Source organism: Homo sapiens, chromosome 17 (assembly GCF_000001405.40).
Source record: "Homo sapiens chromosome 17, GRCh38.p14 Primary Assembly".
Classification (NCBI taxonomy): Eukaryota; Metazoa; Chordata; class Mammalia; order Primates; family Hominidae; genus Homo; species Homo sapiens.
Window position 1 is genome coordinate 44353169 of NC_000017.11, and position 16460 is coordinate 44369628.

At 57.0% G+C, this 16460-nt stretch overlaps 1 protein-coding gene and 1 pseudogene across 2 annotated transcripts, besides 6 other annotated features; both read right to left on the reverse strand.

The window, feature by feature from the left end:
* On the reverse strand, positions 47-10685 carry FAM171A2 (family with sequence similarity 171 member A2). 2 transcript variants are annotated; one of them, NM_198475.3, is made up of 8 exons: positions 10429-10685; positions 6737-6964; positions 6411-6503; positions 3262-3420; positions 3005-3184; positions 2790-2906; positions 2547-2673; positions 47-2023 (listed from the first exon to the last, which is right to left on the reverse strand). In NM_198475.3, the coding sequence occupies exons 1-8, from the start codon at positions 10544-10546 to the stop codon at positions 565-567; spliced, it is 2481 nt and encodes an 826-aa protein (NP_940877.2). In that variant the 5' UTR covers positions 10547-10685; the 3' UTR covers positions 47-564. The 2 variants fall into 2 exon arrangements, with proteins under 2 accessions (NP_940877.2, XP_016879979.1); XM_017024490.2 differs by lacking the exons at positions 6411-6503; positions 6737-6964; positions 10429-10685 and adding an exon at positions 5777-5937.
* Positions 470-539: a silencer, noted in NCBI's record as "silent region_8590". NCBI's record gives its function as "represses an Ori minimal core promoter by ATAC-STARR-seq in GM12878 lymphoblastoid cells {active_cell/tissue: GM12878}" and the evidence as "EXISTENCE:reporter gene assay evidence [ECO:0000049][PMID:35858748]".
* Positions 1570-1619: a silencer, noted in NCBI's record as "silent region_8591". NCBI's record gives its function as "represses an Ori minimal core promoter by ATAC-STARR-seq in GM12878 lymphoblastoid cells {active_cell/tissue: GM12878}" and the evidence as "EXISTENCE:reporter gene assay evidence [ECO:0000049][PMID:35858748]".
* Positions 7669-8269: an enhancer, noted in NCBI's record as "H3K4me1 hESC enhancer chr17:42438205-42438805 (GRCh37/hg19 assembly coordinates)". NCBI's record gives its function as "activates a minimal SCP1, AML or CMV promoter by ChIP-STARR-seq in primed H9 embryonic stem cells {active_cell/tissue: H9 hESC(primed)}" and the evidence as "EXISTENCE:reporter gene assay evidence [ECO:0000049][PMID:30033119]".
* Positions 8270-8869: an enhancer, noted in NCBI's record as "H3K4me1 hESC enhancer chr17:42438806-42439405 (GRCh37/hg19 assembly coordinates)". NCBI's record gives its function as "activates a minimal SCP1, AML or CMV promoter by ChIP-STARR-seq in primed H9 embryonic stem cells {active_cell/tissue: H9 hESC(primed)}" and the evidence as "EXISTENCE:reporter gene assay evidence [ECO:0000049][PMID:30033119]".
* Positions 10397-10776: a silencer, noted in NCBI's record as "silent region_8592". NCBI's record gives its function as "represses an Ori minimal core promoter by ATAC-STARR-seq in GM12878 lymphoblastoid cells {active_cell/tissue: GM12878}" and the evidence as "EXISTENCE:reporter gene assay evidence [ECO:0000049][PMID:35858748]".
* On the reverse strand, positions 11638-12615 carry RPL7L1P5 (RPL7L1 pseudogene 5; annotated as a pseudogene).
* Positions 15961-16460: an enhancer, noted in NCBI's record as "H3K4me1 hESC enhancer chr17:42446497-42446996 (GRCh37/hg19 assembly coordinates)". NCBI's record gives its function as "activates a minimal SCP1, AML or CMV promoter by ChIP-STARR-seq in naive H9 embryonic stem cells {active_cell/tissue: H9 hESC(naive)}" and the evidence as "EXISTENCE:reporter gene assay evidence [ECO:0000049][PMID:30033119]".

Here is a 16460-nt window from a genome sequence, read left to right on the forward strand (position 1 = left end):
CTGCCAACACTCCCCTCCCCTACCCCACAGAAAGACATACACAGCCTTAACCTCACCAGTTTTATATTTGCTGCTGCCCACATCGGCTGTATCACATTACCCCCTAGTCCCCAGAGCTGTCCCAGCCACCAGCCCTGTGACATCGTAGCCCAGAGATGGGCTAGTCAGCAAGCAGCACCCCCTCCCCTCCCAGGGGTCCACAAAGAACGCCCCCTCCCTTCCCAGCCCTCACACTAGCAGCTGAGGCTGGGTCACCCCTCCTGCTTTCCCACAATAGAGCTTTCTATGTACAGCCACGTCTACACAGGCACTGCTTCCCCCCAGCCCTCCTCCCCGGCACCTCCCCGTGGGGGTCTGGACCCCCCCTCCTCCCCGGCTTGGAGGCAGACACAGGGTCCCTTGCAAGACACGACCCAGCACCAACCACGGAACAGCTCCAAGGCCCCTGGGCCCCTCTCCGGCCTGGGGCTGGGAGCTACGCGCGAGGGCCCCCGCGGGCCCCCGGGGCGCGCACCCTGGGTGCGGGCCCGCGCGGGAGGGGCGGTGCCAGGCCCTGCGCGGGCGCTACTTGACGTTGAACACCATCAGCGGCCGCTCCTCCCGCCGCTGCCACGGGCTCTTCTTGTCTCCCGCCTCGTCGCCCACCTCCGCCCCCAGCTCGTCCTCCGGGCTGGTGAGCGAGTCGCGCCGCAGCTCGCTGGCGCTGCTGCGGGAGCTGTCCCCGCGGCTGCGGCCCCGCCCCCGGGGTACCGTGGCCGCCCGGCCCTCGGGCGCCGCCACCTCGTCCAGCAGCGGCGTCAGCGAGTTGTCCTCCGGAGAGCAGAGGCCCGTGCGGCTCTCGCTGCTGCTGGGCTCCGTGTCCTCGCTGAGCGCCAGGCGCGGGGGCGCGGGCGGCGGCGGCGGCGCGGCAGGCGGGGCGCGCTCCCGCTCCTCCCTCGCGGGCCGGCGGCGCGCGGGCCGCGCCTCGTGGACATCTACGCCCGAGTCCAGGCTGGCGTCGGTGCTGCGTGCCCCGCCGCCCGCCTGCAGGTCGATGTAAGAGTGGCGCACTTGCGAGTTGGAGCGCCCGTCGAGGGACACGAACCAGGCGCGCGGGTGCGGCTTCACGCCCAGTTCCAGCAGCTTCTTCTCGGTCAGGGCCTGCAGCTCCCCGTTGAGCTGCGCCATGGTGGACTCGTTGAATAGCACAGGGATGGTGACTGAGCCACTGACGGGCGCCGCGCGCCCGGCCCCCCAGCCCTCGCCGCCGCCCCCGCCGCCCTCGCCCCCCGGGCCCGAGTGGCCCGGCATCTGCGGGCGCTGGGGGTCGGGCTGGGGAAAAGCGCGCGCCGGGCCGGGTGCCGTGCCCTCCGGCGGGGCCGGCTCGTCGCCCACGCCGGCGGCGCCCGCCTCGCCGCCGAGGCGCACGTAGTGCGCGGGGATCACCAGGGTGGGCATGACGTTGCGGTAGACGTTGTCCTTGAGGTGGTCGATGGAGCCGCAGAAGATGAGCTGCCCCGCCTGGCCCAGCGACGGCGGCCGCGCCAGCTGGTCCACCGACTGCGACAGCAGGAAGTCGGGGGTCTTGCCCTCGGCCGCCCCCTTGTGGCCCAGGTAGTGGTCGAAGGGCGGCGGCGGCGAGGGCGGCTCGTGCAGGAAGGCCGCAGCCCCCGAGGGCCCCCGCCGGTGCTCCTCTAGGCCGGGCTCCAGCCCGCCGGGGCCCTCGGCCGAGCGAGCGCCCTTGAGCCCGGCGCTCTCGCCCCCGCGGGCACCCGAAGGCTCGGCGGCCGGGCGGCTGGCAGAGCGCGGCTTGGTGCGGAAGAAGTCATCCCGGGAGGAGGCCAAGTCCCGGGAGCTGGAGAAGGCCGAGTGGAGGGGGCCTGGAGGCGGAGCCTCGGGGTCCCCCGACGGGGCGGGTTCCAGGGGTCCCCCACAGATGAGGTGGAGCTGGGACATCGAGGTGGCCTGGTCTCGTTTGTTACCGTCAGAGGGCCCCGAGAGCTGCAGCTTGCGGTGCTGTTGCCTCGGCTTCAGGCAGCGCCTCCTGGAAGGGAGGGAGCAGAAGGGGCCGCTCAGGAAAGGGTGAGGGCCAAAGTAGGCCCCGAACCCCCTTAGATGCAAGACAAGAGACGAATATAGTGGAAGAGGTGGGGAGAATGCCTGGGGCGCTCAGGAGAGATGGCGGGGAGCCGCCGTGTCCGTTTGGCGATCCCCTCAGGGTCAACTCTGCACTCCTCTGCATGTAGGATGTGCTGCGAGAACCAGGGATGAGCATCTAAGCTGTCTATGGGTGTGTCCGGCCTGGAGTCCTCTGGGAGAGAGAGCTGGGCTGGTAGGGGCAGTGGCAGATCTCTCTGGAGGGGCCGGGCTGCAAGTCCTTAAGCCCTGCCTCCCCTCCCACCTCCCCGCTGTCTTCAACCACCAGCACCAGCCCTTCAGGTCTTAGCATGTTTGCAGGAAGTCTTTTCCTGTCTGCCCCTTGAGGACCAGAAGTGGATTTTATGCATCTTTGGGGCCCCAGGGCCCGGTACAAGTGCAGGGGAGGGTGAGGGAAGCCCCGTGCTCACCGGCAGTAGTAGATGAGCAGACACAGCAGGATAAGCACCAGCAGGGCCAGGGCTGCCAGGATGGTGAGCAAGAAGATGGTGTGGTAGGTGCCGATGTCCTGGATGCCCGACGTGATGGTGACCAGCCCTGTGCCAGGCGAGGGCTTAGCGTTCAGGTGTAGACACCCTTCCTGCCTTTCAGAAGTCTGCTCTCCCAGCTCCCCTCCTCCGCGGCCTCTACGCCCACTGCCCCACTACTCTTACCAGCCGTGGGGGAGGCCATGGCGGCCACCCAGTACCCCAGCTGGGGGGAGACGAAGGTCCAGTAGAGCTGCCGGCCTTCCTTCCGGATTACACCAGTGCCATTGCGCACCCACAGCCCTGGGAGAGGCAGGGGTTTTGTCACACTTGAGTCGCTCCCACTCAAGTCCCACTTTCTTCTCTCAACTCAAGCACCTGCAGCCCCCTGAGGCACTTACCACTCTTGGGGTCAAATCTCCAGGCTGGAATGCTGGTGCCCACGGTGAGGGCACGAGTCTCGGAGGGCACGGGCAGGGACAGGTGAATGGGGCCTGAGAGCGGCACCTCTGTCCCATTACCTGTCAGCAGGTGCACGCTCACAGCAGTCAGGGGCATCAGCTCCAGCCAGGAGCCATTGCCTGAGGGAAGAGGGTACAGGGCTGAGGGCTGATCCTGAGCCTGGGGAGACCCCATCCGTGCTGGGCACCCAGCCTACCTGAGCTGGAGGCCTCAGTGCCCAGGAAGGCAGGGAAAGCCCGCATTTCCTGCTGGGTGCTGGCAGGCGTAAGTGACGCCCAGAGCTGGCTGTAGGTGGAGCTGACAGGCAGGCGGGCAGCCCGGCGCTGGAACTGCACCAAGGGCTGGGAGCGGGCACCTGGAGGGAAAGAGGGGCTGCAGTGGCTTGACCATGGACAGGGATCCCCAGGGACCAGAGCAGAAACCCATTATCTAAGGAAAAGGGGGACATGAGGTCAGGCCACTTTGGAAGGCCAGGGAGGGTGATGCCTTGGGGAGAAAGCTGGGCAGTCATGGAATGTTAACCTGGAAGGGACATGGACCTGAAATCTCTGTGTGACCCTCAGCAATTTACTTGTTTTAGTAGAAAGTTTCCTTATAGAACCTATAAAATGTTGCGATCCAGATCCTCAAACAGTATTGTCTACTATGTGGCAGGCACCAGGTTAGACACTGGGGGCCCAAAGATGAACGTCTGCTGTGATGGGAATGTTTTCTAGGTGTGCTGCCCATTATGGTACCCACTGGACACACGTGGCTGTTAAGCATTTGAAATGTGGCTAGTGTGACTGAGGAACTGGATTTTTAATTTTTAAAAATGTAATGATTTTTTTCTAGGTGGGTGCAGTGGCTCATGCCTATAATCCCAGCACTTTGGGAAGCCAAGGTGGGTGGATCACCTGAGGTCAGGAGTTGGAGACCAGCCTGACCAACATGGAGAAACCCTGACTCTCTTAAAAATACAAAATTAGCTGGGTGTGGTGGTGCATTCCTGTAATCCCAGCTGCTCGTGAGGCTGAGGCAGGAGAATCACTTGAAACTGGGAGGGGGAGGTTGCGGTGAGCTGAGATTGTGCCATTGCACTCCTGTCTGGGCATCAAGAGCGAAACTCCATCTCAAAAGAAAAAAAAAAAAAAGGCCGAGCGCGGTGGCTCACGCCTGTAATCCCAGCACTTTGGGATTCCAAGGCAGGTGGATCACGAGGTCAGGAGTTCAAGACCAGCCTGGCCAAGATGGTGAAACCCCATCTCTACTAAAACTACAAAAATTAGCCAGGTGCGGTGGCAGGCGCCTGTAATCCCAGCTACTCGGGAGGCTGAGGCAGGAGAATCGCTTGAACCCAGGCAGCAGAGGTTGCAGTGAGCCAAGATCATGCCATTGTACTCCAGCCTGGGCAACAGAGTGAGAATCCATCTCAAAAAAAAAAATTAATGAATTTTTAATTTAATTTACTTCAATTTAATATGTAGCTAGTGGCTACTGCATTAGACAGTTTAGGTCGTGTGTGTGTGTGTGTGTGTGTGTGTGTTGGGGTGGAGGGGACAGACATACAAACAATTCCAATACAATATGGTCACAGCTAACATTTATTAATCTTTAAGCTATGCTGGGCACTGTTCTAAGCAGGTTACCTATATTAACCCCTGCAATTAGGAAAATAGCCCCTGAGCTAGGTATCTATTATCAACCTCATTTTAGAGGTGCAGAAATGGAGGCACAGGGGTTCAGTAACTTGCACGAGGTCACAATCCTCGAGCCCGGATAGAAGCCCAGGCCATCGGGCTCCAGGCCCATCCTCTGCCATGCCATTCCTCCTGCCTTGCTATCCAAATAGAGGGATGCAGAGGACTAGGGGAGCTGGTCTCACTCAGCTCAGGGGAGGCCCTGTGGAGTCTTGGAGGATGTGGAAGACTCAGCCAGGAAAGAAAGAGGGAAAGGACATCCAGGAGGCCTGGCATGAGAAAGGCCCAGAGGCGTGGGGCAGAGGGCGGCCCGGGCTCTGGAGGGTGCAGTCAGCTCTGAGATGGCACCTGGGCTTGGTACTGAAAGCAGTAGGCGCCATGCAGGGGCTTCAAGCTAGGGGGCCACAAAGGGTCCACTGGTATTTTAGAAACCTGCAGGGGCACTTAGAAGCTTGGGATCAGAGTGACGAAGGTGAGCAAACAAGAGCAGCTTGGTGAGGCCGGGTGAAGTGACTCGCGCCTGTAATCCCAGCACTTTGAGAGGCAGAGGCGGGTGGATCACCTGAGGTCAGGAGTTCGAGACTAGCCTGGCCAACATGGCAAAACCGTCTCTACTAAAAATACAAAAATTAGTCTGGCGTGGTGATGGGTGCCTGTAATCCCAGCTACTCAGGAGACTAAGGCAGGAGAATCCCTTGAACCCAGAAAGCAAAGGTTGCAGTGAGCCGAGGTTATACCACTTCAGCCTGGGCAACAGAGCAATACTCCATCTCAAAAAAAAACCCAACAACAACAACAACAAAAACTAGCTCCATGACAAGGGCTCAAGCTGAGACTACAAACTGGGATGGGGTTCCTCAAACTCCGAAACCCACCATGGCCCTCTAAGCGGAATGGAGCCCCCAAACCCTCACTGTCCTCTACTACCCTCCACCTGATGTCTCCCCCTGGCCTTCCTCTCCAGTGGAGGTGCCTCTGCTTCCCCTTCACTCCTGAGTCGAGGGCTGACTGCTCCGTTCGACAAGCTCTCACCCAGCCAGGTCCCCTCGCAGGTTAGGGCCGTCTCAGCACTGAAAGCAGCTGCCCTCCACTCCACTGCCCTGCCTGCTCTGGAACTATTTCAGGGCTTGCAATGATCTGTCTTCCTACTTGTCTGTGAACGTCCAAAGGCAAAGAGCGGGTCTTCTTCCTCACCGTGGTTCCCAGCACCAGCCACAATGCCTGGCACAGCCTAGGAGTTGAAGTAAGTACTAGCTGAGCGAGACCAAAAGCCTGGGGGTAGACCAGGAACTGCAGGCTTGCTCTGGGCCTTGCACTTCCTGTGCACCTGTGCATCCAGCAGGTGCACAACAAATCTGTGTAGACCCATTGAAGATAAAGGTGGCAGGGAAGGTAGGAATAGATGGAGAATAGAAACCACGAGAAGCCCCGATAACTGTAAACATTTATTGAACACCTTCTGTACTGTGTTTTTTCACTTTGTGATTTCTTACTCCAATTTGATGATGTAGGCACTAACCTTCCACGTCTTACAAATGAGCAAATTATGGCTCAGAGAGGTGAAGTGACTTGCCCAAGGACACCCAGCTAATATAGGACAGTGGAGGTCTCTACACCTAGGTCAGGGGAAGGAAGAAGAGTTGGCGTGGGTGAGGGGGAGCCTTACCGGGAGAGCCTAGGAGAATGTGCACCAGGTCCTCATAGAGGATGAGCGTGGCCGGCCGCTCAGGGAGCAGGTAGAGGCTGACAGACGCATACACTGCGGGAGGGATGGCCGGTCAGCTCCAGGAAAACCCACCCCCTACCCCCCAGCCAGGCACCCCCTCCATCTGAGTCCCAGAGGCTTCACCCTCCCTCAGCCCCCTCTGTGTACCCCAGCCCAGGCAGCAGCTGCTGGAAAGCCTCCCCCTCCACCCCCAAGGAGACTATTTTGGGAAGGGGCTGATGGAGGGTCAGCTGCTGTCCCCCCCCTCCACCTGCCCCTGCACTCACAGGGCAGCTTGTCAACACGCCAGGGCACAGAGTTGGTGAGGAAGCCAGGGCGGGCAGCAGTGACCAGCACCCAGGTGCCCAAGCGATAACTGAGGGGCAGGGTGGCCACACCCTCTGAGTCTGTGGTGCCAGCTGCCAGCAGAGTCCGGTTCCCAAACACATCCACTGAGGCCCGGGCCAGGGGCACCAGCTCCCCGCTCACATACACCTGCACCTTGATCAGGATCTCTGTGGGCAAGATGGGGCAAAGGGAGTGAGGACGAGGGAGGGGGAAAGAGAACTGGGGGGAGCCCCAAGATCAGAGGAAGGAGCTGTGTTTGAGAGAGTCTTTTGGGCTGAGGCTAGAGAAGGCATGATTTAAGACCCAGCATTCACAGAGCACTCACTGAAACCTCCTATCAGCCCATGCCGGAGGTGGGACTATTCCTGTATTTCATCGTCTAACACATGCGCTGTGTCACATTTTCACAATTCTAAACTCGGGCTATGCCTATGATTGATGATGCCATCGTTATAACTGGCAGCATTTCTTCCTTTCTTACTGGTACCTGAAATCATGGTGCATCTTACAGTCAGTGGTGTATTGGATTTGATAATATATGCTCTTAGTCCATTTTACAGATAAGGAAACTGAGGCTTAGAGAGTTTAGATACTTGGACTACAGCTAAGTGGAGATCTGGGATCCAGACCTGGCAGTCTGCCTCTAGAAGCGACATTCTTAACCCCGGGCCTGGGGAGAGGAGAAGGACAGGAGGGCTGAGAAAGGCTAAGTAAAGCTGGGTCCGCAGGCGGAGAGGAGAAGGGTCAAGATTCAGCAGTTTGAAAGGGAGGATGGAGGCTAGGGCAGAGTTTGGGGTCTTGGGAAAAAATTGACAGGGGACACTAGGAAACTGGTCATTCCCATCATTCATCCTTTTCCCAGAATCCTTTGCACAAGCCTGTTTCCCTTCAGATTTAGGGACTCACCCCAACCCCATGCCCAAACAAATTACTTCTGCCTCCTCCCCCTCACATGAACCGCCTGCCCCCTCCCAGCTGGTCAGCTACAGTCAGTCACCATGGCAACGCCCTCATTCCTCCCAGGAGATCAGGCAGGGAGCTGGGGCCCTGGTAAGGGAAAGGAGATCTAGGGGGGAGCAACCCAGGCCCAAGAGAACTATTGTGGAGGGGGCTGGGGAGGGAAGCCCAAGTCTTTTGCTTTCCAGGGATGCCTCTGCCCACAGCCCGTGGAGAATCTGGCCAGGCCATCAGGCAGGCGTCCTGCCCTCAGATGGCGTGATGGGAAGGAACCAAGCCTTGAGTTGTTCCCATGGATTCTCCAGGCAGTCTCTCTGATCCAGGGCACCCCTTCCCATCAGCACAGCCCCTCCCTCAAGAACACACTTCGCCCCTACCTTCCTGCTAACAAGGTGTGTCATGCATGTATGGACACCTCAGTGGGGGGCCCAGGAGACAGGTGGGAAGTGGGCTGAGTGCTGGATGCAAATCTAGTGGGGGTTGGGTATGGAAGGAAGAGTCTGGAGCTGAGAGCAGCAGGGCCTGGGGAGGTCAGGGTGCTGTGGAGACTTCAAGGAGAGGGAAGGCCTTAGAGTGGAGCCTGACACTCAGCAGTGACAGGTGTCTTAGCTCAGGCTCCCAATCCGCAGCCAGCGCCACGCCTGCCCTAGGCATCCCATCCAGCTGTTCCCCTGAGCCCACCTCCCCTCCCAGGCCAGAGCCCAACCCTGCAGGGTGGGTGCACACTCCACTCACTCTCGCTCTCTGCTCCTCCAGGAAGCTGGCACCCCTTTACTGTTTTTTTGCACATTTGATGTGATTTAATTCTTACTTCAATTTGATGATGTAGGCACTATCCTTCCATGTCTTACAAATGAACAAATTATGGCTCAGAGAGGTTAAGTGGCATGGGGTGGGGGGAGGTAGAGCCTAGGAGGACGTGTGCAAGGTCCTCATCCATCCCCCTGCCAACACCCATTAGGAATTCGGAGAAGCTAGAAGGTCCTGGCTACTCCCACCTCCATCCCGGGCTTAGGAACAGCTGGATAGAGCAGCTGGGGAGAGGGATCCCGAGTCTGAGATATGGTCATTTGAGGGAATGCCTTGGGTTCAAGAGTCAGAGTTTCAGAAGAGGGAGGGGGCTGGGGAAACAAAACTGGGGTGGGCTGGTAAGGATCTGTGCCAACCTTGCGGGTGGGGGAGAAGGGAGGGGGCAGGTGCCTAGCAGATTCCCTTCCCCCTTTCCCTCAACCTGGGCTCCCCGCCAGCTGCCCCAGAGAACCCCCAATCCTGGCTCTATTCCAGCCAATTCCCTGGGCCCCTTCCCCTGAGGTGCAGGGACTTGAGGGGAGGGGCGTCCTAAGAAACTAGGGCTTCTTCCTACTAAGAAAAGCCTGATCTCCTCCCCGAGAGAGCTGGGGGAGACTGAGGCAGAGGGTGAACCCTACCCATTCCTCGAAGCCTGACATTCCATATAGTATCCACCTCTCCCGGCTCTAGGCCTGCCTCAGTCCAGGAGGAAATCCGACCCCCTCCCTTCATCCGGACCCCACTTCCCTCATCCAGACCCCCCCACTCTGCTTTTCCTGCCAGCTCCTTAGTGTGGGGGGTGAGGAGTGAATACTGCTTCAGGCAGGGATGGGGCCCACAGGCAGGAGAGGGAGAGCAGGACCCGGGAGGTGGACTCAGGACTGGAGTGGGCGGAGGCCCCCAAGCGTCCAGGCCTGCCTGTGGGATGTGTTGTCAGGGTCTTGCTCCCCCACCCTTTCCTGCTGCAGGAGCCGGCCCCACCCCCACCTCACACACCCACCTGCGCCCGGTGAGTCGCTGGGAAGGGTCTCCTCCACTGCGAAGATGTGAGATGAGGAGGGGGTGATATGGGGGCGGGCAGGGGACAGGAATGCCAGGAGGCCTGCTGAATGGGGGGGGACCCAGGCACCTGCCCTCCCAGCCGGCACTGCCCACAGCCAGCTAGCTCAGCATGGCTCCACGACCACAAGCCTGCCATGCTCCCTCAGCTGGGAATCACAATGTACCCCCTTTTCTTAGAGGCCCACAACTGCGGCTCGTCCTCCATCATAGGCTCACAAGCATTTATTTGGTGCACCCCAAACTCTAAACCAGGGGGGCTGGCTGGGAGCTGTCAGGCTCCAGGGCAAAGAACCCCATTAGAGCAGTCAATCCCGCCCACAGCCTCACCCACTCCCCCTTCTCCCCTCCCCCCTTCAAACCCAGCTCCAGGCTCCCAGCCTCCGGTCCCGGCCTAGGGTGGCAGCGGATGCCGGCGCCCCCACCCCGCCAGGGTCGGGAGCGAGCAACCCGCAGGGGGCTGCGGAGCAGGCGCCCGCCCCAGCCCGCCCCTGGGCGGGTGTCTTCGGTAGACAATGGCTCAGGCAGCAGCGCCTCGCGGACCAGGAGGGAGAAAAACAAATAGGGAGAGGGCGGCGGCGCAGATCCTGGGGACCCTCGCACTACCCATTGTGTCTCCCCAAGACCCCCGCCCCGGACGGCCTCCCTCTCCCCGCCTCCACTTTCCCCCAGAAGCGCCAACCCCAGATCGCTTAGCTCCCCCCACCCGAATCCAGGGAACAGAATACCACTCAATTCACGAACGCCGCGAAGAGGGGGCTGACGGGCGGGAGCCTGATCAGGGGGCGCAGGCCCGCGATCGCGGCCCCTCCCGGCTGAGACTCACCCTGCGGGCTGGGGGGCTCCGGCGGCGACTTGCCGGGAGCCCGGGAGGCGCTGCCGAGCAGCAGCCCCAGCAGCGGCAACAGCCGCGCGAGGACGCTGGGGCCACTCGCCGGCGGCATCGCGGGGCTAGGCCGGGCCCTAGCGGTCCATGGCTCCCGCCTGGTCCCGCTCGCCCGGCCCCGCGCAGCCCCAGCTCTGCGCCGCGCCTCGCAGCTCCGGCTCCCGCTCCCGCTGCGGCGCCCGCTCAGCGCGATTGTCTCCGACCGGAGCCGCCGCAAGCGCCCCCTGCAGGCGGCGCGCCACACCGCTGGCCCTCCGGCACCGCCCCCTCCCGGCCCCGCTCCGCCCGCCGCCCCCCGGTACTGCCCACCTTCAGCCCACCCCGCAGCCCCCGCGCTCTGCGCTCCCAGACTCTGCGCTGCAAAGGAGTGTCGGGATTAGGGTCCCATCACCCGGGTTCTTGGGTTTCGAGAGTCCCCAAAATTTGGTGCAAAATTTGTGTGTGTGTAGGTGGGGAGTGGATATTGCCTACAACACTCTCAAGGGGTACGGTCATGAAAGTCTCAGAAAACTGTAAGAACTCCCTGCTCGATGGCCCCCTTCTCCCGGTAGAACACCTAGGCAGTGCTGGGGTGATAGCAGGGAAGGCCCCCTAGACCCCCCTAAGTCTCTCTTTTTTTTTTTTTTGAGACAGATTTTTTTTTTTCAGAGACAAGTGAACATTTATTTTTGGGCCTTTCTTCCTATTTCAAGTCTTTTTCAAAACAAGGCCCCAAGAATCTCCAAATTCAATTATGTCCCTGGGCTTGGCCGACTGGTGCAGGAGTCTTAGGGAGCCTTGTACAAATGCTAGAGTTACTCACTTACCGACATTAAACTAAAACGCTGGAATTTTTCCTTGGAAACTGGACTGTGATTAGAGGTGCTTGCCATGAACATAAGCTACTGTTTCTTCTCCTTCTTTTTTTTTTTTTTTTTTTTTTTGAGAGAGAGTCTTGCTCTGTTGCCCAGGCTGGAGTGCAGTGGCGTGATCTTGGCTCACTGCAACCTCTGCCTCCCGGGTTCAAGTGATTCTCCTGCCTCAGCCTCCCAAGTAGCTGGGACTACAGGTGCACGCCACCATGCCCGGCTAATTTTTGTATTTTTAGTAGAGACAGCGTTTCACTATGTTGGCCAGGCTGGTCTCGAACTCCTGATCTCAAGTGATCTACCCGCCTCGGCCTCCCAAAGTGCTGGGATTACAGGCGTGAGCTTCTGTCTTTTCTTTGACCCTTCCTTTCCAGTTTTTGAAGATAAAGCTGGAAATAATCTTCTCTGAAGATACTTGATAAAAATTCCCAAAAAAACAAAAACACATGCTTCTACTACCCATGCTTCCACTTCATTAATAAAAATTTACTGCAGTTTGGCACCTGGGTCTAGTTCAGCTGGCGGATGAGCTGACTGATGCGTTCACCCTGATAGCCAGGTGTGCCCATCTCCTTGAGGAAGCCCACTGTATTTTTGGTAGCATGACGGGCCACTGAGAGGTAGAAAGGGCGTAACAACCATGAGACCTCCTGGAAATGCTTCCCTGGGACGGCAATTTCATGACTGAGGTCTTCCAAGCAAACGACACCAAACTTCCCCAGGTGCTTCTCAATCACTGTGTTGTCTGTCAGAGGAATGGTCTTATTCCTTATTCCTGACCTTGGCTTGTCCATGTTTCAAAATGAGTTCCTGGACAGACTTCAGATTTGGAAATCCCCAGGTCACATAAGGTTCCACCATACGCAGCATTTTTAGGTTCTGGGGGGTGACTTTTACAAAGACACCACTAAAAATTTTCTTTAGGCAAAGTCTTACAATGGTTCTCTGCACCAGTAAACTCACGCCATCAATTCTTTCGATGTGTACAACAAAGGCCAAGGAATGTTTATCTGGCAATTCCAAGGCATGATGTTTCACTTCTAGTTGTCTGAGATGCACTTTGTCACATTTCTGCCATCAGGAATCATGTAGGAATGATTCCAGTTGCTTAAACCTGAGCCCTTTTCCTTTCCTCTGCTCTTTCTTTGACAAAAGTGCCTGCTTTGCCTGGGTGGCTTTGAGGGCTTGGTAAGCCTTTTTTTCAGGAGATTTTCTAGAACCAAAGGGATTTTTCTTTGCTCTTGCTCGCCATTTTTCTAGTGTTGCAGCTACCGATCATTAAGACAGAGTCTTTTGCTGTTGCCCAGGCTGGAGTGCAATGATGCAATCTCGGCTCACTGCAACCTCTGCCTCTTGAGTTCAAGAGATTCTTGTGCCTCAGCCTCCTGAGTAGCTGGAATTACAGATGCCTGTCACCATGCCCGGCTAATTTTTGTATTTTTAGTAGAGATGGGGTTTCACCATGTTGGCCAGGCTGGTCTTGAACTTGTGACCTCAGGTGATCCACCCGCCTCAGCCTCCCAAATTGCTGGGATTACAGGTGTGAGCCACCGTGCCTAGCCCTAAGTCTCTTATTAAGCCATTGGCAAGATATTCAGCCTTCTGGTCTTCAGTCTTCCTTTAAAATGGGAGTTGTCATAATCTCTACCTCATAGGGTTGCTGTAACAACTAAATGAGATGTAATGGCCAAATAATGATGTCAAAAGAGTCTAGCACAAGCCTCACAGGAGCAGGGGCGTAATAAATGCTGTTACTGTTGGCCCAGGGTGAGGTAGGGACTCACCTGTGCCCAGGTAATATGATCCATTGCTGGGCAGTGCTAATGGCTAAGGAGTGTTTCCAGGGCTGGCAGCAGCCTTTCTCTTCCACCAGTTGGTGATTCTCAGTGGTCTTGGTTCTGGCTTTGTGAATGATAAACTGGGTCTCTCCTTTGTCCTCAGCCATTGAATCCCATATTTGAGGACAGCTATTGGCTTGCCCTAGTCCCAGCCAAGCTCTCTTTCCTTCCAGTTCAATATTTCTGGTTGTCATCATCAATCAGTTTCCACCTGGCCAAATCCTTAACTGGTATCTCTTCCCTGGTTCTCTCTGGTTTGTCACCTTCTCTTTCTCACTGTATGGTGGCCAAGAGGGGACTGGATACCTAAGGCAAGGACCCCATTTCCCAGAGAACAGCAACCCTCCTGGTTGGGTCTTCTGATTTAAGGGGACATCATTATAAGCTTGTGGACAGAATGAAAACTGCCAGTGTATCTGTCTCTCTTCTTTCTTTCTCCCTTCCTTCTTCCCTTCTTCTTTTCATTTCTCTCTCTCTTTTCTTTTCTCTCTCTCTCTCTCTCTCTTTCTTTTTTTGATGGAGTCTTGCTCTGTCACCCAGGCTGGAGTGCAGTGGCTGCGATCTTGGCTCACTGCAACCTCCGCCTCCCGGGTTCACGCCATTCTCCTGCCTCAGCTTCCTGAGTAGCTGGGACTACAGGTGCCCGCCACCACGCCCGGCTAATTTTTTTGTATTTTTAATAGAAACGGGGTTTCACCGTGTTAGTCAGGACGGTCTCGATCTCCTGACCTCGTGATCCACCTGCCTTGGCCTCCCAAAGGGCTGGGATTACAGGTGTGAGCCACCGCGCCCAGCCTCTCTCTGTTTTCAACAGAAATTTCCATCTCACCAGATTTCCCAGTGCTATTCTTATGTAACCAGTTTTTTGGAACCTCAACACAAGACTTAGCACTCATCCCTGGTGAATTTCATCTTGTTGGTTTCCACCCAACTTTACAATCTGTCAAGGCTGCTTTGAATCTGCTTCAGTCACCCATTGTGTTGGAGCTCCCTCCCAGCCAGCAGCCATCTGCAGGGTGAAGATGGCTTCCTCTACCTCCATTCAAGGGACTCATAACAATGCCAGGCAGCCCAGGGCCAGGATGGAGCTTCATAGAGATCTCCTTCAGCTTTATCAGAATTGTTCAGGTCTAAATCCGAGTCCCTAGGATCCAGCTCACATTTACGTCTTGTCTATAAGGACAAATGCCAAATGCTTTGCTGGATCAAGATAAGTTGTCTGGAGCCATCCAATCGCAATGACAGAAGGAGGAGGCAATTTGGCTGGTATTCAAGGATCACGGCTTAATCTTTTCTTAAATGCATTCAGTCACCCAAATAGAAACCTGTTCCGAAACTTGCCATGCATGGATGTCAAAATATTCTCTTCAGAATTTACTATTTACACCTTTGGGTAGAATCAAATACCAACAGCTCTTGCTGTTGTATTGTTCATCAATGGCTTCCCCCAACACTTGGCGTCAAGTCCAAAGTCCTCCCCATGGCCACGGGGTGTTCCTGCCCCCATCCCCCATCTCCTGAACCCTCACCCACACCTGCCTCCAGCCACATGGGCCTCCTTGCTTTTTTTGAACACACTAAGCCAGCTCCTACCTCAGGGCCTTTTCACTGGCTGCTCTTTCTTTCCAGAACATTTTATCTTCATGTAGCTGCATGGCTCAGTCATTCATCTCCCTGCTTATCTCATCAAAGAGGCCTTCCCTGACCACCCTACCTAAAATGTTAGTAGCACCCCTCCAAACACCCACTATATATATAAAAATATATATATATATAAATATATATATATATATATATATATATATTTTTTTTTTTTTTTTTTTTTTTTTTTTTGAGACGGAGTGTCGCTCTGTTGCCAGGCTGGAGTGCAGTGGCACGATCCTGGCTCACTGCAGCCTCCGCCTCATGGGTTCAAGTGATTCTCCTGCCTCAGCCTCCTGAGTAGCTGGGATTACAGGTGCCCACCACCGTGCCTGGCTAATTTTTGTATTTTTAGTAGAGACGGGGTTTCTCCATGTTGGCCAGGCTGTTCTCCAACTCCTGACCTGAGGTGATCTGCCCGTCTCAACCTCCCAAATGCTGGGATTATAGGTGTGAGCCACCGTACCCGGCCCACCCACATACAATCTATCACTCTCTCGTCACCGTTATTTTCACTCACAGCACTGACTGCTACTAACCATACATTTATTTGTTTACTTTACTTTTTACCTCTGGAATGTAAGTTCCAGGAGGGCAGGGACGTTGCTTTGTTCACTGCTGCATCTCAGCACTGGAATAGTGCCAGGCATGTGGTAGTGAGAGGTGACACTGTGCTGGCAGTCCTCACAGCCCTCGCTCGCTCTCGGGGACTCCTCTGCCTGGGCTCCCACTTTGGCGGCACTTGAGAAGCCCTTCAGCCCACCGCTGCACTGTGGGAGCCCCTTTCTGGGCTGGCCAAGACCGGAGCCAGCTCCCTTAGCTTGCAGGGAGGTGTGGAGGGAGAGGCCCAAGCGGGAACCCGGGCTGCGCTCGCTGCTTGCGGGCCAGCTGGAGTTCCGGGTGGGCGTGGGCTTGGCGGGCCCCGCACTCGGAGCAGCCAGCCGGCCCTGCCGGCCCCGGGCAATGAGGGGCTTAGCACCCGGGCCAGCGGCTGCAGAGGGCGTACTGGGTCCCCCAGCAGTGCCAGCCCACCACTGGGCCTTAGCTGCCTTCCTGCAGGGCAGGGCTGGGGACCTGCAGCCCGCCATGCGTGAGCCTCCCACCCACTCCATGGGCTCCTGTGCGGCCCGAGCCTCCCGGATGAGCGGCGCCCCCTGCTCCACGGCGCCCAGTCCCATCAACCACCCAAGGGCTGAGGAGTGTGGGCGCACGGTGCGGGACTGGCACGTAGCTCCACCTGCAGCCCCTGTGCGGGATCCACTGGGTGAAGCCAGCTGGGTTCCTGAGTCTGGTGGGGCCTTGGAGAACCTTTATATCTAGCTCAGGGATTGTAAATACACCAATCGGCACTCTATCTAGCTCGAGGTTTGTAAACACACCAATCAGCACCCTGTGTCTAGCTCAGGGTTTGTGAGTGCACCAATCAACACTCTGTATCTAGCTGCTCTGGTGGGGCCTTGGAGAACCTTCATGTCTAGCTCAGGGATTGTAAATACACAAATCGGCACTCTGTATCTAGCTCAAGGTTTGTAAACACACCAGTCAGCACCCTGTGTCTAGCTCAGGGTTTGTGAGTGCACCAACCGACACTCTGTATCTAGCTGCACTGGTGGGGCCTTGGAGAACCTTTGTGTCTACACTCTGT

What these genes read in the sequence shown, in the direction of transcription:
- FAM171A2 (NM_198475.3), bottom strand. Translation starts at nt 10,546, where the DNA reads ATGCCGCCGGCGAGTGGCCCCAGCGTCCTCGCGCGGCTGTTGCCGCTG. An exon ending in GCGTGTTGACAAGCTGCCCT is followed by an intron (nt 6,504 to 6,736) that starts GTGAGTGCAGGG and finishes TCCCTCCCGCAG; the next exon opens with TGTATGCGTCTGTCAGCCTC. An exon ending in CATGGCCTCCCCCACGGCTG is followed by an intron (nt 2,674 to 2,789) that starts GTAAGAGTAGTG and finishes CGCCTGGCACAG; the next exon opens with GGCTGGTCACCATCACGTCG.